The sequence below is a fragment of the Homo sapiens genome, chromosome 11, assembly GCF_000001405.40.
Source record: "Homo sapiens chromosome 11, GRCh38.p14 Primary Assembly".
NCBI classification, from domain to species: domain Eukaryota; kingdom Metazoa; phylum Chordata; class Mammalia; order Primates; family Hominidae; genus Homo; species Homo sapiens.
This window is the reverse complement of record NC_000011.10, coordinates 18,288,757-18,310,974: the sequence shown is the minus strand read 5'-3', so window position 1 is coordinate 18,310,974 and position 22,218 is coordinate 18,288,757. Positions and strand designations below refer to the sequence as shown.

General features: G+C 39.5%; 1 protein-coding gene across 39 annotated transcripts in view, besides 1 other annotated feature; it reads left to right on the top strand.

Annotated features, from left to right (window-relative positions):
- Positions 1–22,218, top strand: part of HPS5 (HPS5 biogenesis of lysosomal organelles complex 2 subunit 2) — a 43,505-nt gene that overhangs the window by 11,200 nt on the left and 10,087 nt on the right. For 31 of the 39 annotated variants that reach the window (XM_047426324.1, XM_011519864.2, XM_017017151.3 and 28 more), the window contains 12 exons: positions 42–234; positions 1,896–2,029; positions 4,628–4,840; positions 5,482–5,553; positions 10,059–10,147; positions 12,005–12,183; positions 13,258–13,416; positions 13,991–14,177; positions 14,853–14,976; positions 15,806–15,955; positions 17,999–18,076; positions 18,956–19,533. In XM_047426324.1, the coding sequence (XP_047282280.1) occupies positions 42–234; positions 1,896–2,029; positions 4,628–4,840; positions 5,482–5,553; positions 10,059–10,147; positions 12,005–12,183; positions 13,258–13,416; positions 13,991–14,177; positions 14,853–14,976; positions 15,806–15,955; positions 17,999–18,076; positions 18,956–19,533 (2,156 nt within the window). Of the gene's footprint in view, positions 1–41; positions 235–1,895; positions 2,030–4,627; positions 4,841–5,481; positions 5,554–10,058; positions 10,148–12,004; positions 12,184–13,257; positions 13,417–13,990; positions 14,178–14,852; positions 14,977–15,805; positions 15,961–17,998; positions 18,077–18,955; positions 19,534–22,218 lie in introns of those variants that run through there. The other 8 variants (NM_001440929.1, NM_001440928.1, NM_001440927.1 and 5 more) reach the window with 5 other exon arrangements.
- Positions 69–148: an enhancer, noted in NCBI's record as "active region_4495". NCBI's record gives its function as "activates an Ori minimal core promoter by ATAC-STARR-seq in GM12878 lymphoblastoid cells {active_cell/tissue: GM12878}" and the evidence as "EXISTENCE:reporter gene assay evidence [ECO:0000049][PMID:35858748]".

Genomic DNA, 22,218 nt, shown 5'->3' with positions numbered 1-22,218 from the left:
TCACTGTTGCCACGTTTGCCTCTGTGACTCAATTCTTGCAGTCAAGGTCTTGTGGTTGTTTGGGAATTAAATCAAGAGCGTCGTGGGAAACCGGAACAAATGTATGTGTCTTCAGAACACAAAGGCCGAAGAGTCACAGCTCTCTGCTGGGATACAGCTATTCTTAGAGTTTTTGTAGGTGATCATGCTGGGAAGGTTTCTGCTATCAAACTCAATACTTCTAAACAAGCAAAGGTGAGAAGCAGTCCCATTCTTTGTGTATGTAGTGAGATACAAGGTGTTGTCTTATAAAACTTCCAATTAAAGGATGTGATTTTATCTACTGTATTTCTTGGGAGACTAATCCGGAGTCCAAACCTGGAGATTTTGAGGAGACCTGTTTTTATATAGTACACACGGTGGCCTGTTAGCTCAATACCGTTACAGAATGGCTTTTGTGAACTAACTTCAGTACTTTGCACATTATCTATTGCAGTCCTTCCTGATTCACCTGCATGGCTCATTTAAAGCATTCTTTAGTATAAGGCTATTAAGAAAGAAAAGATATCTATTTATTATTGGTGTGAATAAAGTGACAAACATAGAAATGACACCAATTGCCCAGGCTTCTGGTCTTCTCTGCTTCTTGTGTAGAAGAAACTCATAGGTCTAGGAATATTTTTTATCAGGATGGATATAACTTATTTTGAATGGAATCTTGAAGACACCTTCTGGCTTTGCTCTGCTCTGCAGGTCCTCAGGCTTCTTGCTGCAGTTATGGCTAAGTAGAAGGGTTGAGACTCAGGTTACCCTAACAGAATGCTCCAGTCTGTCATTAAGACAGAATAGACCAGCTTCTCATTGTCCTGCTCCTCCACGACCATTACATCAGAAGTAGAGGGATTTGTCTTGCATTGGCTTATTTCTATTTAGGATCCTGGCAGAAAAGAAAGGCTCTAACTACTATTGGCTAAATTTATTTTATTTTATTTTGAGACAGGTTCTTGCTCTGTCACTCAGGCAGAAGTACAGTGGTGAGATCATGGCTCACTGCAGTCTTGATTGCCCAGGCTGAAGCAATCCTCTCACCTCAAACCTCCTGAGTAGCTGGGACTACTGGCATGCATCACCACGCCTGGCTAATTTTTAAAAACTTTTGTAGAGACAGGGTTTCGCCATGTTGCCCAGGCTGGTCTCGGACTCCTGGGCTCAAGTGATCCAATCACCTTGCCCTCGCAAAGTGCTGGGATTACAGACATGAGCCACTGCGCCTGGCTATTGGCTAAATTATTTTATTTTAATGAACACATCAGAATATTTTTCTGGTTTGCCGTCATGACCTATCAACGTTATCAATTGATTCTTAATATATTTTGGACCTAAAATATAGAAACCCTAGTAAACTTATTTTGTCTTTTTCTAAAAGGGAGAAGTGCTATCTACAGGTGAAAAATTCTTTCACATACTCCAAAACTTTATTTATCTAGAGACAGGTTCTTCTTCTGTTGCCCAGGCTGGCATATAGTAGCATGATCTTAGCTCACTGCAGCCTCAAGCTCCTAGGCTCAAGCAGTTCTTCTGCCTCAGCCTCCCAAGTAGCTGGGATTATGGATGTGTGCTACCATGCCTGACTAACATGTTCTAAACCTTGCTTCATCTTTTTCGTTCTAACCTCTAAGATTAGATAATCACAAACAGATCCTTGAGAAATCTCTTCTGCAGTTACGTACCAGATTATTTAATACAACTTTTAAGTGACTAAAACTTTGATATCCTTACAAGCAAATTAAGTTTTGGCTTATTTGAAAATTTTATTTTGCTATTCAAGTTATTTTCATTTACAAGGTAAAGAGGAAGAGATTGCATGTGTATGTTATGATTAAATAAACTTTATTTCTTTCTCACATTCCTTTTAGGCAGCTGCTGCTTTTGTGATGTTTCCTGTTCAGACAATCACAACTGTTGACTCCTGTGTTGTACAGTTAGATTATTTGGATGGAAGGCTACTTATATCTTCACTTACTCGATCCTTCTTGTGTGACACTGAGAGGTATATTGACCAACCATTAGTCATCAGAAATGCAGAATTTTAGAACTGGGAGGAACTTAGAAGTTATCTACCCCAAGCCCCATCAATCAGTTATACAGATTTTTTTTCTTTTTCTTTTTTTTCTTTTTTTGAGATGGGGTCTCACTCTGTCACTCAGGCTGGAGTGCAGTGGTGTGATCATGGCTCACTGCAGCCTTGACCTCCCTGGCTCAAGCGATCCTCCTACCTCAGCCTCTCAAGTAGCTAGGTCTATAGGCACATGCCACCATGCCCTGCTAATTTTTTGTATTTTGTTTAGAGACTGGGTTTTGTCATGTTACCCAGGCTGGTCTTGAACTCCTGGGCTCAAGCAATCTTCCTGCCTCAGCCTCCCAAAGGGCTTGGATTATAGGCATGAACCACTGCCCCTGGCTATACAGATGTTAAGGAATCAGTTGTATGCAAGCTGATGTTAGAGAGCAGAGAGGAGGTAGAGGAGTCTAAGACAGTCCAGTGGGTGACTAAGACAAGTATTCCGTGAGCCCGTTGCTGGTGAGACATATTCTAAGTGCCATGAGAGAAGGCTAAAGGCCTGTTTTTAGATGGGAAAGCAGGAAGTCTTCTTTGAGTTTTGTTGTTTTCAAGATTTGTTTTATTTTAATAGAATTTTACTAAAGGGTAAAATTGGATGAAAAATAATTAAGAGCTTTATGAAGATAAGTATTTCATCAAAATCTCAAGGGTAGATAGAGCCAGAGGTACAATGAATGGCAAAGGAGTGCATTAGAGGTAGCTGTGAAATACCAGAGCAGAATAGCAGACAGCTGGAAATGAATATTATGCATCACTATGCCAAAGTTCTCAGCCATTCTCACTGCAAGGAAATTTTCACTGGCCATTTCTTTTTTTCACTGGGCCTGGCAGCTATCATATTTCTCAGGACCATCTCCTTTTAAAAATTTATCATGGAGAGTTTTGAGCCTACACAAAAGAAGGGAGAATTGTGTAATCAACACCTGTGTACCTATTTCATAACTAAAGTTGGATGACAGTATCATAGAACCTCCTGTAAAAATAACATGTTTAGACGTGCTTTCTGTTAGCTAGAATTCAGCTTTTGGGGACATGTGTAATATAATAAAATATATACTTATGTTAAAAAATCTTTTTGTTTCAACCTGTTTTCCCTCCCAACAAACAGTTTTTTGGTTTTTTTTGTTTCTTTGTTTTTTTTTTTAAAGCTGAGACTCCTAGTGACTAGCCAAAGTGATAGATATGACTTTGCTTCATGTAAATTTAGTGTTAAGGATTAACTAAGGTAGCATATGTGAAAATACTCAACTTTGTGCCTGTGACGTATTGTTTGAAAAATAATAGAAAGTAAGATTAATGAGTATACAAATGATAATGAATTGATTACATTTTTCACTCAGCAAACATTTATTATGTTCCTCCAGCTCCTTAGCACTGTATTAGGTACCATAGAAAATATAAAATGAAGAAATATATTTTATTTCCCAAATAAGGAGTATAAGTAATAAAACCACTACTTCCTGTACAGCTCTGTATACATTTCAAAGCACTCTTACACCTATGTTCTTAAAGTAAAGCAAATGTTATATTTTATTCATAAAGCAATTAAGTACAGAAGTAGTTATTGAATTATCTGAGGTTAACTAGTAAATTCATGCTAGAGAGCATATTAGATCACTCTTCAATAAAAGAGATTGAGTTTATGGAACTCTATAATGTATTGAGTGCTTTTTGTAGGCCTGACACTGTGCTACACACTGGGAATTCAACCAAAGAGGAATAAGAATTGTCCTTTGCCTTGAAAAGTCATGATCTGCTGTTTAAATAGACATAATTGCCATATATCATGTCATAAGTGCTATGAAAGCAAAGCATAGGAAGCGTGTAATTCCATATATGGGAATCAAGGAAAGTTTCTGAGGAGGAATGATAAGTTTCTGAGGAGGAATGATGGAATCATGGAGAGTAAGTAACAGGAGTTTTTAGGAAGAGACATCTCCCTCATCATTATCACCTTCCGTGTTCCCAGGCAGTGTACTAAGCTCTTTTATATATCTAACTCATGTAATCCTAAGGGAACAGAATGCTCCAAGGTGCAGAGTTTCAGAAGGACCTGGGTTTTTGAGGAAAAAGTAAGTTTATTGGGTGTTTGTGGTGAGGAAGTGACTTGGAGACAGGGTTGGAGAACTAGATTAGTAGCTTCCATGGAGTGTCCAAAGAACATTTTACAAAGTGACTTTAGAAGCAATTAGTAGGATTCAAGGATGTACGAAATAGTTTGGTAGCACTCACCTTTTAGATTTGGAAGGGGCCTTTACATTAATTCTGAGCCTCTTATTCTGTGGATAATAAACTGAGTACTAATATGAAATGATTTGCTTCCTGTCATAGAAATAGCTAATGGCAATCAGAGCCAGAATCCTATTTTGATCTTTCCATTCTATTGTTTTTTTCAGTATATTGCTAATATGAATGAAGGAGAAGGCATTGTGAGTGGAGTTATTATGCCCATGCTGATTTGTAGTGCCGTTGTTTTTGACTTTTTTTTGTAAGTAAATCTGCTTTCTCTTCCTTTCTGGATGTTAGAGAAAAGTTTTGGAAAATTGGAAACAAGGAAAGAGATGGAGAATATGGAGCTTGTTTCTTTCCTGGAAGATGTTCTGGGGGCCAGCAACCTCTGATATATTGTGCTCGCCCAGGCTCTAGGATGTGGGAAGTGAACTTTGATGGAGAAGTTATAAGTACACATCAGTTCAAGAAACTCCTCTCGTTGCCACCTCTCCCTGTGATTACTCTCAGGTAACGATTTGTATGGCTGGTTGGGATTGTTTGAAGAGCTTCTATATAGAGGTTCGGTGAAAATCTCTGATATTCTATCTGTGTTAAAGATTTTATTATACCTGGCTGGGCGTGTTGGCACACGCCTGTAATCCCAGCACTTTGGGAGGCTGTGGCAGGCGGATCTTGAGGTCAGGAGATCGAGACCATCCTGACTAACGCGGTGAAACCCCGTCTCTACCAAAAATACAAACAAAATTTAGCTGGGTGTGGTGGCGCATGCCTGTAGTCCCAGCTACTCGGGAGGCTGAGGCAGGAGAATGGTGTGAAGGGAGGCGGAGCTTGCAGTGAGCCAAGATTGTGCCACTGCACTCCAGCGTGGGTGACAGAGCGAGACTCCGTCTCAAAAAAAAAAAAAAAAAAGATTTTATTCTATCTTTTCAGAGTGAAGTTGGATTTTTATTTTTATTAAAAGATTCAGAAAAACCAAAGAAGTCTTTGATAATTACCTCTCCTATGATTAGTGTCAGGCGAATAAGGGCAGATGCAGTTAGGCTCTTGAATTTGTTTTGGAGGCAAAAATTTCCCTATATTGGGAAAAGTGTAATTTTATGTTATACTTTTAACAGATAAACTCATTAACAGATGTGTTTACTTTCTAGATCAGAACCTCAGTATGATCATACAGCTGGATCCTCCCAGTCTTTGTCTTTCCCCAAACTCTTACATCTTAGGTAAGTTTCTACTTTCCTTAGTTCTGGGGGGGAAAAAGAATACTTAGATTTTTATCTCTGTTTCTTGTTCAGAAGTAGTTTTTTAAGGTTATTTTTGCACTAAATTACTTATAGAAAGTTAGGAAATAATTATGTTACATGAAGTGTTCTGTATCTAAAAGGAATGGAAAGATCCTAGAAATACACTTCTCTTTCCAAGCCAATTGGAGAGTTTATAATTGCCAAGAAACTTCTAACAATTGGAGCTAAGATAGCTCTACTAACCGCCTCATAACCTCTCCTACCTAATGGGATGCTATAATGAAAGCAAGTCCCAGATCAAAATCTGCCACACAGATGTATGTGTTTTTAGCAAGCAGGCACAAAAATAGTTGTAGAACTTGTTCTTGTAAGCTTGGTGAAATTTCAGCTCTCTATCCTATAGGTACTCTGACAAATGCTTGCATGAAAGATCTGCTGGAGGCAGTTTCAGCCATATTCTAATGTCAGAGTTCAGCCAGCCTTCTAGTTGGATTAGGTGCAAAGTCCAGCACAAAGTGCTGCCCTAAAAGTTGTTAAACTGCTGGACCTGCCAATTCTTACACCTTGTTCTGCAAGAGCAAGAGTACCAGTGTATGATTTCCAGCCAATATCTTGAACTCTATTTCATCAATAAAAAATTACTTCTGATATCCCTTAGGCTAGTTAACAAGATCTCTGATGCAAATTCAGCAAATATTGTATGAAGTTGTCATATGGTACACTGGAGTGTGAACACCTGATTCAGTTCTTTGAAAGGCTAACTAACCACTCTTTGTGATTTTTAAAAATAATTGAAGTGTTAACTAATTGCCTCTAAGGGTAAGGATAAAAACCAGTTCATGTATTTGTCATACTTCCTACACTGAAGTATTTAAAAGTGAATTATAAGGCCGGGTGTGGCTCATGCCTGTAATCCCAGCAATTTGGGAGACCGAGGCGGACAGATCTTCTGAGGTCGGGAGTTCAAGACTAGCCTATCAACATGGAGAAACCCCGTCTCTACTAAAAATACAAAAATTAGCCAGGCATAGTGGCATGCTCCTGTAATCCCAGCTAGTAGGGAGGCTGAGGCAGGAGAATCGCTTGAACCTGGAAGGTAGAGGTTGCAGTGAGCCGAGATCGTGCCATTGCACTCCAGCCTGGGCCACAGAGCAAGACTCTGTCTCAAAAAAAAAAAAAAAAAAGTGAATTATAGACATTATAACACTTTAGTAACTCCATAATTCTTCATGAAAGTTACTAGAGAAAGACATTTATTTATTTACCCATAATTAGATAAAGCATATTAAAAACTCTTCCTCCTTTAGCATTCTTCCTTTGTGGCACTTGTCACAGTTTATAATTACATATTAATATAATATTTATACATGTCTTACCCTAAACAGTAAGCTCCATGAGGGCTTTATTTCTGTTTTGTTGACTATTATTTTTTCAATGCTTGGCCTAATGCCTGGCACATGATAGATACTTAATAAATATTTGTTGACTATGATGTGATGTGCGGGGTATTGGGAAGTCCCTTACCCAAGTTTTTTTTTTTTTTTTTAGAGACGGAGTCTTGCTCTGTCACCCACATTGGAGTGCAGTGGTGCGATCTTAGCTCACTGCAGCCTCTGCCTCCCAGGTTCTAGCAATTCTCCTGCCTCAGCCTTCCAAGTAGCTGGGACTCACAGGCGCACGCCACCACGCCTGGCTAATTTTTTGTATTTTAGTAGGGATGGGGTTTCACCATGTTGCCCAGGCTGGTCTCGAACTCCTGAGCTCAGGCAATCCACCTGCATCGGCTTCCCAAAGTACCCAAGAATATGTTTTCTAGTAGTCGGGCCACAATACACTTAGCTCTCCTGGTAGAGTTATTCTTTTGGCTGTAGCTATTTAAAGCTGCTGTTATAGTCCCTACCATGGTAGACAAAAAGCCTTTGATGATCTGGCTCTGCCTATTCCTCAGCTAAAGCAACAATTAACGCCACTTTGAAACTTCTGCTGATTCCTCAAAGAGGCTTACGTTAGACAACCTATTTCTGTGCATGTACTGTTGTCAAACCATATTCATTCCTTTATCATTGCCACTGTCTTACTGTATTATGAGTATGCATCCCAGCATCAGATTGTCAACTCCTTTTCATGGGCAGTGCTAGACACATAGAAAACCCTCAAATGATAGTGAATTCAACAAAGAGTTTTTTCGAAAACATGAAGAGGAGGGCTTCTTTTCATTCCTGTTTGTTTATGTTTTTCATTCGTACACTGTGCCCTATGGGACTTTTACTGTTGCAACCCATAAATCCCAGAGGGGGCATCCTTATGTACTTTGTTTCCTTTCAGGCACATTCCTTTCTGGAACTTCTAAAACAATGCTGTTAGGCTTATGTCCCCATTTATTATCAGTGAAGGGATAAGGGGACAAGGAATGTATAAATTACAAGTATCAGCTTTTATCTAAGTTCCCGTCCTCAGCCCCCCATCTAATCTAGGTTGCTATTCCTAAGGAATTTTCCAAGCTGAATGTCAGGTTCAGTATCAAAATTATGATCCTGTATCTCTTTCTCAGGGATCCTCTGACACCCCCCCCCCCCCCGCTTTTTTTCTCCTTTGACTCTTGAAGGCAGCCTTCTCAATTTTACTTTGGATTCAGATTCTGACCATTTCTTGCATTTTATGACAAAGATTACTTTCCTGTAGGGATAGTGATCTGGTCTTTCATATTGACAAAATGTTTAACACTTACATGAGGGCCCAACTCCTGTTAAAAATCAATTAGTTTCATAGCCACATGGAACCATTTTTAGTACTCTTGGAAACATAAAGGAAAAAGAAATATAGTCCCTGTTCTTCAGAGTATAATTTATTAGAGAGATATGATTTATTTGTCCAAAAAGTTTAACAACAATAAGAAGTAAGAGTTGTGACAGTGCAGTAGATGATTAAGTGCCATATGAGCAGAGTATAAGAAATAGGTTGAGTGCAAGAAATAGGGTGAGTGTTGTGGGCTGTAAGGGAGGATTTCAGAGGGAAGTAGAACTTCTGATCCTTGAGAGGTGGCTAGATTAAGAACATTGTAAGTTGGAGAATGTCCTGAACAGCATTAGGAAGTGGAGATTACCAGTGGTATATAAAAAATAGTAGCAGCCTTGAGAGAATAAATGAAATATATGAGATAAATTTATATGAGTAAGTATAGAAAAAGATGAGGAGAAAAAAATGAGTCCTCCAGACCAGAGGACTGGAGAGAAAGAGAACCAAGAAAATGCAGTGTCCAGGAGCCCCAGGAGGTGAGGTTCAAGAAGCAGAGAACAGTTAGCAGGGTTGGCTTCTGCTTGGGGTTAAGAAAATGGGAAGTGATGAAGGGTTATTGGGTTTGGCAGTTTGGGAATCTGTGACTTTTTGAGAATTCAGTTAAGTGGAATAGTTAGGATTCCAGATAATAGTGAGTAGGTTAGTGAAGATAAGTGGAGGAGGAAGTAGATTCTGTGTTATATAGGAAAAAAGTCCAGGTTTTGGAGCCAGACTATCCTGCATATCCAGTATAAATTCTGACTCGTATACATTTCATGCTGAATGGCCTTTGGTATATTATTTTATTTCTCTGAGCCTTAGCTTTTTCTCTTTTTAATAAGAATAGTATATCTACCTTGACTGGCTTCTACAAAGTTAGGTAATATAGACAGAGCCTTTAATAAAGCTCCTGGCACATCGTTGAGCAGGAGTTGTCAGCTTTTTGTTGCGCACACACAACTAACAACATCAAAATATTACTGTTCTTAAAAGTGTCTCACTAGAGTAATGATTGGCAGTAAGATGTTAGTCTTTGTTTTAAATGTGCCCGTATCATGTCCAGTATGGAAAGTTCAGCTGCTTTAACGAACATCAGGTAAAGGTCCCTAAGCTTTTCTTTTTCCAGATACCAGCCTTTTCTTTCTTTCTTTTTTTTTTTTTTTTTTTTTTTGAGACAGAGTCACCCAGGCTGTCACCCAGGCTGGAGTGCAGTGGCACAATCTTGGCTCACTGCAACCTCCGCCTCCCTGTAAGTGATTCTCCTGCCTCAGCCTCCCGAGTAGCTGGGATTACAAGCGCATGTCACCATGCCCGGCTAATTTTTCTATTTTTAATAGAGACAGGGTTTCACCATGTTGGTCTGGCTAGTCTCAAACTCCTGACCTCAAGTGATCCACCCACCTTGGCCTCCCAAAGTGCTGGGACTACAGGCGTGAGCCACTGCACCCAGCTGACCCTTTTCTTTTTCTGGAAAATATCTAGTATATGTGTCTGAATTTTCCCAATTTGGCATCATTTTATGCTATTTATTAGTGGGCTGTTGTTACAGACAGAAAGGAGTTGTTAGGACTCGATTAGCTGGATCACTCTTGTGTTTTCTTTGTACAGTTTGATTTTACTTTAATAGCTAATGCAAGGATCTGAATTCGGGGAATTATAAACTTTTGTATCCTAGCACACTTGAATTCTCTTCACTTCTTCTCTTGCAGTGAGCATTGTGTGCTGACTTGGACAGAAAGAGGAATTTATATTTTCATTCCTCAGAATGTTCAAGTTCTTCTTTGGAGTGAAGTCAAAGGTAATTATATTTTTCTTTGTAATTTTTAATCTCATGCTTATGAAAATTTGATTATTGTAGGAGCATTCTCTTGTAATTTAAGAAGTTGAAAAATAGGATGGGATGACTTTTTTTTTTTTTTTTTTTTTTTTGAGACTAAGTCTTGCTCTGTCACCCAGGCTGGAGTGCACTGGTGCGATCTTGGCTCACGGAAACCTCCACCTCCTGGGTTCAAGTGATTCTCCTGCCTCAGCCTCCTGAGTAGCTGGGATTACAGGCACGCACCACCACACCTGGCTAATTTTTGTATTTTTAGTAGAGATGGAGTTTCGCCATGTTGGCCAGGCTGGTCTCGAATTCCTGACCTCAGGTGATCTGCCGGCCTCAGCCTCCCAAAGTTCTGGGATTACAAACATGTATGATTACAGGTGTGAGCCACCGTGCCCAGTTACGTTTCTTTTAAAGATTGACCATAGATATTTCCCATTGTAAGTTACTTCCCAAACATGCATTAGTGAATTTGCATTCAGCTATTTATTTTTTCATGAGTCATTTTATTTATTTTTTAATTGACACATAATAATTGTACATATTTATGGGGTACATAAATATGTACCCCATAATATGTTTCGATACATGCAGTGTATAGTGTACCCTGATCAGATCAGGGTGGTTAGCATATCTACCATGTTAAACATTTATTAGCTCTTCATGTTGGGAACATTCATTGTCCTTCTAGCTCTTTGAAAACAGACATTATTATTAACTATAGTCATCCTACAATGCTATGGAACAGTAGAATTTATTCCTCCTATCTAGCTATAATTTTGTATCCTTTAACAAGTCTTTTCCCTGTCTTCTCCTTCCTCTTACCCTTCCCAGAATCTAGTCACCTCTGTTCTGCTTTTTTACTTCTGTGAGATCACATTTTTCTAGCTTCTGCATATAAATGAGAACATGTGGTCTTTAACTTTCTGTTCCTAGCTTATTTCACTTAACATAGTGTCTTCCAGTTTTCATGAGTAATTTTAAGTGCAGTTTTCATTAGTAACTGCTGAAAAGGAACAAACAGGTTATTTTTCCCTCTATTGCCCTGAGTCTTTATCCCTGCCAGAAGTCTTACTTTGACTCCCATTTTGTATCTTTATAGTTTGGGGTTCAAATTGTTCTTGTGGGAGCAACAGCCATCATATGTGACTGAGACAGAAAATCAATCTCTATATTCTTTGGGTTAAAACCAGAAGTGGGGGAAATCTAGCTTTTTTACCATTGCTGCTCAGTAGAGAGTGTTATGTTGACTTTTTGGTTCTTTTTCTATGTTTGTAAAAACCAAAAAAGGAGAGAGAGAAAGAAATCATTACTTACTGGTCTCATCAACAGTGACTTTCTTGTGGCTTAAATTTCTTAAGTATGTCCCTTGAAAAGTAGTCTTTTAAGTCCTTTCAGGATACTCTGCCAAGACAGATATTTTCTTGAAGGCAGATATTTTCTCATGAACTGTATATTGATTTACATACTATGTTAAAATCCATTCATTGAGGACCAGGTTGTAACACTCGAACCTTATAGTCTGGCCTCTAATGTAGATTATCCTCTTTTAATGTCCCAATTCCTTTTCACAGAAAACAGCATTTTTAAACATAAGACTTTAGGTCAGAGAGATATAGTTCTTTCTTCACATCTTTTATTCTTGATCTTTTTAGAATAGTTTCTAAAATATGATTTCTTCATTGAACTGCAAGTAGAAAAATAGAGATGAAATTCAGTCAAGCCAAACCCTACGTAAGAAATGAATTTATTAGAATAATTGCATCCCTTTTAAAATTGTAAGGGGTATTTGGTTAACATTTTGTATGTTCACACCTGTGGTTTTCGTAGATATTCAGGATGTGGCTGTCTGTAGGAATGAATTGTTCTGTTTGCACCTAAATGGGAAAGTCTCACATCTCTCCCTGATATCTGTGGAGCGCTGTGTGGAACGCCTGCTAAGAAGAGGCCTATGGAACTTGGCTGCTCGTACATGCTGTCTTTTCCAAAATTCTGTCATTGCCAGCAGAGTGAGTCAGAGCTTACCTAGACATCTTTACCATGGATTGGTGAAACTCTCCTACCTTGCAAGATTGTGTTACAAAGTTGCTTGATTTTATTAACCCTGTCTGTGTGACCTACAGATACAGCAATACATGCCCAGAGAAAGCATGATAGATATATCTAGGGGTGGATAGAGGGTAAGAAAGAGGGTACAATTTTCATTTAAAACATCAAATTTACATACAAATTTGTTTCAGAACTTGTTTTTAAGGGGGATAATTGCGTATATGGTAAATTTTAATTAAATTATTATTATTATTATTTTGAGACAGTCTCGCTCTGTCACCCAGGCTGGAGTGCAGTGGCGCAATCTCGGCCCACTGCAACCTCTGCCTCCTGGGTTCAAGCAATTCGCGTGTCTCAGCCTCCTGAGTAGCTGCGACTACAGGCGCTCGCCACCACACCTAGCTGATTTTTTTTGTATTTTTAGTAGAGACGGGGTTTCACCGTGTTGGCCAGGCTGATCTCGAACTCCTGACCTCAAGTGATCCGCCCACTTTGGCCTCCCAAAGTGTGGGATTACAGGTATCAGCCACCACACATGGCCTTAAATTCTTAATTCCTAAGAAAATTCTCATTAAATCTTTCTCCAGCTTGCTAAGCCTTTTTAAAGCACCATTGAAGTTTTATGTTCTATATTAGACTTATTTCTTTTTTCTTTTTTTTTTTTTTGAGATGAAGTCTCACTCTTGTCCCCCAGGCTGGAGTGGAGTGCAATGGCGTGATCTCAGCTCACTGCAACCTCTGCCTCCCAGGTTCAAATGATTCTCCTGCCTCAGCCTCCCGAGTAGCTGGGATTACAGATGCCTGCCCCCATGCCCAGCTAATTTTTGTATTTTTAGTAGAGACGGGGTTTCACCATGTTGGCCAGGCTTGTCTTGAACTCCTGACCTCGGGGGATCTGCCCGCCTCGGCCTCCCAGAGTGCTGGGATTACAGGCGTGAGCCACCGTGCCCGGCCTAGACCTCTTTCAATATATTGGCCATTTGAATATAGATTTACCTACAAATAGCTATTCCATTGCGCTGTTGTTTTATTAGGCAAGAAAAACTTTGACTGCAGATAAATTGGAGCATTTGAAATCTCAGCTGGACCATGGCACCTACAATGATCTAATTTCTCAACTGGAAGAATTGATCTTAAAATTTGAACCTTTGGATTCAGCTTGTAGCAGTAGAAGAAGCTCCATTTCATCACATGTAAGTATTCTCACCTTTAAAGGATTTTGTAGGGTAAGATTTTTCCATCTTCGGTTGTTCTTATTTACCTCTAGGATCCCCAAATTTGTTGTCCTTTCCATTTATGTTTTTTGGTGGGAAGGGGTGAACTTTTGTTCAGCTAGTGGCTCAGCTCTGTGAAGCCTCCATTTAGGTGTGTCTTGGAGCCACATTTTGTTTTGTCATTGTTTATTATTTTTTGTTCCCTGATATACTCATATAGCTCCCAGCATAAGTTACGTTGCTCTAATATGTGATTTTAGGTGCTTCATGCTAATTTGAGCCTGAATGCAGGTCTGGATTATCTCATTTAATCCCCATTCTCACTACCAAGCTTTATGAAGACAAGCTAGAGAAATATGGCAGCTGATGCCACTAGCACACGGAGTGACCCAGCTGCCAGGCACCTAAGCCTTGCTCATCAGTTTGTTCTAATAAGCCATAATGGTTGTTATTAACTTTCTATTTGAGTGTTGGTATTTCTCTGCAGAAGTTATATTAACGTTATAAAGGAAATTTTTACCTTTTTTTTTTTTTGAATTCTTTTAATTTTTAGGAAAGTTTCAGCATCTTGGACTCTGGTATTTATCGTATCATTAGTAGTAGAAGAGGCAGTCAGTCAGATGAAGACTCTTGCTCCCTTCACAGCCAAACCCTCTCAGAAGATGAGAGATTTAAAGAATTCACCTCACAGCAGGAAGAGGACCTGCCAGATCAGTGTTGTGGCTCACACGGAAATGAAGGTGATGAATGTGTCTGTTGTTGGTTCCTGATGTGAAGCCATTATTTTCCACGAGCTCCTGTTACCAGGATTATCTTGTGCACGGAATTTCTCTGAAGTGTTAATAATTTTTAACATGTTGATAGAACTTTCCATCCAGATCTACAGATCTGCCCCCTACTAGAAGAGTTGGTTTATGTTTAGTATTTTTTCCCCTCACGTTTGGACTAACATTAGGGCCTGTTTTTGATCATGCATCAAAATGCTGGAAAGGTTATGAAAGAAAGGTCATTAACCAAAAGAGTGGGAAGATTTTATTCTGACTAACCAAATTATTTTTCATCAGGATTGAAAAATTACTGCAGTTTTTGGGGGTCATTGCCTTCCTTTTTCGATGTGCGAGTATTCCTGTGGCTGAACTAGTGAGAAGAGAATAATAGAGATCCTAAACTCCCTTTTTGACTTATGGGGACTCAGGGTTAGTAGGCAAATGAAGGTACCTGCCTCGGTGTTTTATGTGGACCATCCCATGCATTTTGTAAACCTGTGTTCCACTCATTTGTTTCTGGGTCAGTTGTGATTTTGGTATTGAATCCTTCATTTCTTTCGGTTTATTCATTTCAGAATTTTTTTAAAGATTAAAACAACTCCCACGTGATTAGATTTTGTTTCTTTTTTTCCTGATTCCATTCATTAGACAATGTTTCTCATGCTCCAGTGATGTTTGAGACAGATAAGAATGAAACTTTTCTCCCGTTCGGCATTCCATTACCATTTCGTTCTCCATCTCCTCTTGTGTCTCTTCAGGCTGTCAAAGAAAGGTAAACCAATTAGTCTTGTCATTTAATTCCATTACTGATCTTATTTCAGTTCTCACATTAGGTAATTTGTGCTGAGAATGGAAAATGAGAAAAAGGAAGTCTCTTGTTTTCCATATAACTTGTCATATGGAGCTATTAACTTCTCATTTACCTTGGGGAGAGTCTAGCTTCCCTCTGTTTTAGCAGCTGGTATTTGAGTTGTTGCAGATGTAGGTGCCCCCACCCTCAAGAGATCAAAAATTAAAAATCTCTGATGGTAATAGTTTCCACGTATCATTAGTCTTTAGCTGATCCTTTCTAATGGTCAGTTTGGGCTCAGACTTGGAGTCTTTTCAGAATTCTTTTCTAGCTACTCCATGGGACCAGGGTTGACATTTGAGTTTAAGAGAGAAGACTTTGTGCAGCTACTTAACTGCTCATCTGAGTCTTACTGGATACAAATTTTGCTTAAGAAGGGTATATTGTGACTAGTTAACAGCTGAGTTTACATGAAGCAATTCTTTGTTCTGTGACCAGAATGGGGCTGATGATCACATGGCTTTGCCTAAGTTGACAGAAATATTACAGATACAGCTGGAGTTAAAGACCTTTTCTTTAGCGCTGAAACACTGATTTCTTAGGGCAGTTTAGTAAATAATGTGAATCATTATATTGTAAGTTTATATACGTGAAATACTATTATTTGAACAGAGAAGTTGCTATAAACAGTCTTTACTAAGTCCAAGTTGCCTCCCTAGGACTTATTAGGGAGAAAACTGAAGAATGAAAACCTGAGTTTTCTCAGTAATAAGTTTTTATTCATGTTAGTTTTTTGTTATTTGACTTCTAGTGTTTCTAGCTTTGTGCGTAAAACTACTGAGAAGATTGGCACCCTTCACACGAGCCCTGATCTGAAAGTGAGACCAGAGCTCAGGGGTGATGAGCAATCATGTGAAGAGGATGTGAGTTCAGATACCTGCCCAAAGGAGGAAGACACTGAGTAAGCCCTTACACATAAATCTCTATACATTCTAGGGAATCCAGCTGTCAGTTTTAAGAAAGCCATAGACCAACCTTGTGCAGCCTGTGGCCCGTGGGCCTCATGTGTTCCAGGACGGCTTTGAACGTGGCCCAACACAAATTTGTAAAGTTTCTGAAAACATGAGTTTTTTTGTGATTTTTTTTTTTAATAGCTCATCAGCTATTGTTAATGTTAGTGTATTTTATGTGTGGCCCAAGACAATTCTTCCCATGTGGCCCGGGGAAGCCAAAAATTGGACACCTGTGCCATAGACTATGTCCTTTTCAAGAAGGCACATGTATGTCTGCATTCATTGAAGATTGTTTGTGTAGCTTATAAAAATTGTGAAATTCCACAAAGTGTTGAAAAATTACATCACCCCGAAGCAGATCTATTGAGCAGAGTTTTAATTTAGTACTTCTTCCATCTTTCCCCTGCATAACTCCCCTCCTTCCCCCATAATCTCTTCAAACTTCTGGGATCTCACAGGAGTATTATATTAAGAGTAGGATGACCAAGGATCTAGACCTCATCCTGGCTCTGCGTATGACTAGTATGTGACTTTGGGAATGTCACTGATGCTCTCTGGCCTGTAAGATCCAAAATGTGCTATTATTTGATGAGTCAAGGACTCATCAAGCAATAGCAAAAGGACCACCTTTTATATTATCTAATTGTCTCATGTAACATGAGTATAATACTTTATTCTCTAATAAAGAGAATATTAGATTGAGATAATGAAAAAGAAAACAAGGGATTCTTTAGGCAACGTTGATCAAGCAGTTGGCATTGATGTCCTATCAGGTACCTTCCCATAATATGCTGGTGGCCTGGTCCTTGTGTAGTAGAGTTGTAGCAGAGCCCTTAATTGGGCATAGTGTGGAGTATCTTGTCTCTCTGGCTTCTGCCTTATAGTTCAGGGAATCTGGGTATTAAAGGCAAACAAATTCAGCACTTACCCAGGAATTAAGAGAGAAACCCATGGGACCAGTGCATCTGGACAGTCAGATGAAATAAAAGATTTGTAATCCTCAGAATAACTTAGTGAATCCATATGTTTATAGAAAAAATACAGATTTTTTGACATGGCATTTAATGCAGCCTTCTATCTGACCTTAGCTACCTTTCTAGCCACATCCTTCTAAGTGCTATAAATTTCACTCCTATCGGAGAACTAAGTGTGTACACTGACACTTCACTACCTTTCTTCATGCTATGTCTTCTATCCAGAGTATTCTCCCGCCATTTTTTGTGAGACAAATAATACCTCCTTAGGAATATGTCCCTTTCCCTACTCAGAAAAATTATTTCTTCTTCTCTGCTTTCATATCACAATGCTGTTTTAAAGAGCTGCTCTTTGGTGTTCAACTTACTCTTTTTTTAAATTATACTTAGTTGTTTGCATGCCTTTCTTTCTAATGAGAGCTTACTGGAGCTTATCACCTTGAGGCCAAGGACCACCTTTTCTATTCATCTATTTGTCTTATGTAACATGAGTATAATACTTGCCGTTAGTAAGCATGAGAAATATTTGTCCAAGGGTCAGGTGCGGTGGCTCACGCACTTTAGGAGGCCGAGGCAGGTGGATCACGAGGTCAGGAGATCGGGACCATTCTGACTAACATGATGAAACCCCATCTCTACTAAAAATACAAAAACAAAATTAGCCAGGCATGATGCTGGGTGCCTGTAGTCCCAGCTATTCGGGAGGCTGAGGCGGGAGAATGGTGTGAACCTGGGAGGTGGAGCTTGCAGTGAGCGGAGATCATGCCACTGCACTCCAGCCTAGGCAACAGAGCGTGACTCTGTCTCAAAAAAAAAAGAAAAAAGAAATATTTGTCTAAGAAAGCTCTGAGGCTGAGGCAGGGAGAATTGCTTGAACCCGGGAGGCGGAGGTTGCAATGAACCGAGATCACGTCACTGCACTGCAGCCTGGGTGACAGAGTGAGACCCTGTCTCAAAAAAAGCTCTGATCCCCTCTAACTCTTGTGAATGTTATTGTTATTTTGCACACTTTTTTAGGGAGGAAAAAGAGGTAACTAGTCCACCTCCAGAAGAAGACAGGTTCCAGGAGCTTAAAGTAGCAACAGCAGAAGCAATGTGAGTATAATGAGAAACTTTTATAGTGACGTCTCAAGGCAGTTTAGTAAACGAAGTGAATCATTATATTGTAAGTTTTTTATGGGCCTTGTATGAAATATATAGTTGATTAGAGAAGTTGCTATAAATGGTCTTTCCTTTTATTAAGTCCAAGTTGCCTTCCTAGGACTAATAGGAAAAACCCAGGCACTGAAGTTTTCATTCTTGGCAGCAATAAGATTTTCTTCATGTTAATTTTTTGGTATTTGACTTCCAGTATTCCTAGCTTTGTGTGTAAAACTACTGAGAAGATTGGCAGCCTTCACACAAGCCCAGAATGGGAATGACTTTCTGAGTCCATCAGTAGTGGTCCTGAGACAGTTTGGGGCAGAGATAGCCTCATTTGGAATTGAAATTGAAGAAGTAGGCTGGGCGTGGTGGCTCATGACTGTAATCCCAGCATTTTGAAAGGCTGAGGTGGGCGGATCGCTTGAGCTTAGAAGTTTGAGACCATCCAGGGCAACATGATGAAACCCCAAATACCAAAAGTAGCTGTGTGTAGTGGGTGTAGTGGCATGTACCTGTATTCCCAGCTACTCAGGAGGCTGAGGTGGGAGGATCACTTGAGCCTGCAGTGAGCTATGTTTGTGCCATTGCACTCCAGCCTGGGTGACAAAACAAGACCCTATCTCAAAAAAAAAAAAAAAAAAGTAAAACACTACAAAGTTTATGTTCTCTGTTTTGTCATCTTGTTGAGATAGTTTTTATTTAAAGAGTTGAAAAGTAACGTTTATTCCAGATGAGTATGTTACATTGGTTAGGTTAATTTATTAGCATGAATTAATTTGTTTTAAGAAAAACACATGACACATGAATTTCATACTTGTCTGTCTTGTATAGGACCAAGCTACAGGACCCTCTGGTTTTATTTGAATCCGAGTCTCTGAGAATGGTTTTACAGGAGTGGCTTTCACATTTAGAAAAAACATTTGCCATGAAGGACTTTTCAGGTGTTTCAGATACTGACAACTCATCCATGAAATTGAACCAGGATGTGCTATTAGTTAATGAATCAAAAAAGGGAATATTAGATGAAGATAATGAAAAAGAAAAAAGGGACTCTTTAGGCAATGAAGAATCTGTTGATAAAACAGCATGTGAATGTGTAAGGAGTCCAAGGGAGTCTTTGGATGACCTGTTTCAAATATGTTCTCCATGCGCCATTGCAAGTGGTCTTCGGAACGACCTGGCTGAATTGACAACATTATGTTTGGAGTTGAATGTATTGAATTCTAAGATCAAAAGCACCAGTGGACATGTGGACCACACTTTGCAACAGTACTCTCCTGAAATTCTGGCTTGCCAGTTCCTGAAGAAGTACTTTTTTCTCCTGAACTTGAAAAGAGCGAAGGAGAGTATCAAGCTTAGTTACAGTAATAGCCCTTCTGTTTGGGATACTTTTATTGAAGGATTGAAAGGTAATACTCAGATTGCCTTATCAAAGATAGAAATTCGTATTAAAAAACATTAGCAGTTTTGAATTTTGGGGTTTAAAAAAAAGATTTAAGTAGAAAATCACATCTGTTCTGGTCAACCCTTTATTCTGTTTTCCATTCATTTTAACTTTTAATAGTTCTTTCAGACATTGGTTAAATTCACAACTGGATTATAAGAAATTAGTTTTTAAATTTTTATTTATTTTATTTTTTTTGAGACAGAGTTTCATTCTGTTTGAGTGCAGTGGCGCCATCTTGGCTCACTGCAACCTCCGCCTCCTGGGTTCAAGTGATTGTCTTGCCTCAGCCTCCCAAGTAGCTGGGACTGCAGGCGTGCACCACCACGCCCAGCTAATTTTTGTATTTTAGTAGAGACAGGGTTTTGCCATGTCGGCCAAGCTGGTCTCAAACGCCTGACCTCAAGTGATCTACCTGCCTTGGCCTCCCAAAGTGTTGGGATCACAGGCATCAACCACTGTGCCTGGCCCTATTTTTTATTTTTAGAGACAGGGTCTCACTCTGTGCCCAGGCTGGAATGCAGTGGTGTGATCATGGCTCACTGTAGCCTTGATCCCTTGGGTTCAAGCGATCCTCCTGCCTCAGTTTTCTGAGTCGTGGGATTACAGGCATGTGCCACTGTACCCTCTGATTTCTTCATTTTTTTATAGAGATGGGGTCTTACTGTGTTGCCCAGGTTGGTCTTGAAATCCTGACCTCAAAGCAGTCTTCCCACCTTGGCCTCCCAAAATGCTGGGATTATAGGTGTGAGCCACCATGCCTGGCCCTAGAAATTAGTTTTATTTCTCTCATAATGACATTCAGAAAATGGTAGAGCAGTGCTGGGGAAGTTGAGGTTAAAGTAAAATGTTTATAAATGCAGATGTATTAAAAGAAGAAAATCTCTCATGTAACTTACTAATACAGAAATACTATATGGGGTACTTATTGTGTGGCAGATATTATGGTAAACACTTTTCAGCATTGTCTCATTTCATCCTTACAATAATGTTTGGAGTAGATGGTGTTATTCCATTTTATAGATAAGCAGTCTGAGGCAGAGAGAGATCTTAGGTAGCTAAACTGCTGTAATAAATATCTGATAATGAAGTAACTCATACATAAATAGAAGTGTATTTCTTGCTCATGTAACAGTCCAGGACAGGTATTCCAGGTCAGTGGGTAGCTGTCTCCCAGGTGGTAATTCAGCATTCTAGCATTCCAAGTTCCTTCCATTATTTTCAGCTCCATCTTCCCTTAAGGGATGTGGTCATGTTTGGGTTGCTATGTCTGGGGAAAGCATGTAGAAAGTGCTGTCTTATAGGCCTGGCCTGGTAGTGGCTTACCTCTCTTCTGTGTACATTTCCATTGATGAGAATTCTGTCATATAGCCACAACTAACTGCAAAGGAAACTGGGAAATGTAACCTGTCCAGGAGGAAAAGAATGAATATAGGTGAAGAGCTCGCTTACATGTCTGCCTCAGAGACTTTGGTGCATAGCCCGCAGTATCTACCTTGGCGGAAGGTCGCATATGTCATCCTGACATATAATAGAAACCAGCTATCATACCCTAAAAACTATATGCATTGCCCTTTCTGCAGCCATAGTCCCATGTTTTTGAAGAAGTGAATTTTCTTAATTCCAAATCCTACTTGAATAACAGATGCCATATTTCTAATACTTTAGACTTTAAGCAACTTTTCATTCATTACCAAAAGTGAATAGAGATACATTTTTATGTCATCTTACTTAAAGATATTTTAGCTTTCTAGAAACATGGATCTATAGTTACAGATCTGCTTTAATTCAAATATAGCAGTTAAAAGCATAATAATTTTTTTTTTTCTGAGTTGAGGTAGATTGTCTTTTGTGTGAAATAAGAAACAAGCTATTTCTCCTCAGGTAAGTTCAAATGTGTGACATTATTACTCATTGGAAATTTACTGTATCTGTCTCTATTATGTGATCATACCCAGTCACAGAAGAGCAGAAAAGAGTCTCCATCAGCCAGAGTGATAGTTGTTACTACCAGTGCTGGCTAGAGGAAGCATGGTGGGCAATTTGAGTGATATGGCTGCTTACTTGAATTTAGGTGGATATGTCTGGTTTAGCTCCCGCGCAGTCATCAGGCTTCCCCAAACCTCTGAATGGCCTCCTCCTCTGAATTCCTTTAAAGTACTTATTGCCTGACACAGTCAAATGGGAAACAATGAGACTGGGGAAAAAATGACTTTTTTAAAAAAGCATGTATCAGAAAATGAATGTTGGCTCTTAGAACCTGGTGAGTAGGCCTCACCCTTCTAATGATGTGATAATTATGGGAAACAGCTTTTGGAACTGTTATTTGGGATTTGTCTTCAGAGGCAGTTGAAAAATACTTGCCCAGCTTAGGCAACGTAGCAAGACCCCGTCTCTACACACACAAAAACACACACACCAGCCTATGCAATGTAGCAAGACCCTGTCTACACACACATACATATAAACACACACACACATGCCAGCCTAGACAACGTTTCAAGACCTTGTCTCTACACACACACACATGCACACACCCAGGTATTGCAGCTAGGCAACGTAGCAAGACCCTGTCTCTCCACACACGCATGTGCGCATGTGTGCACACAGGCACTGCAGCTAGGCAACGTAGGAAGACCCCGTCGCTGCA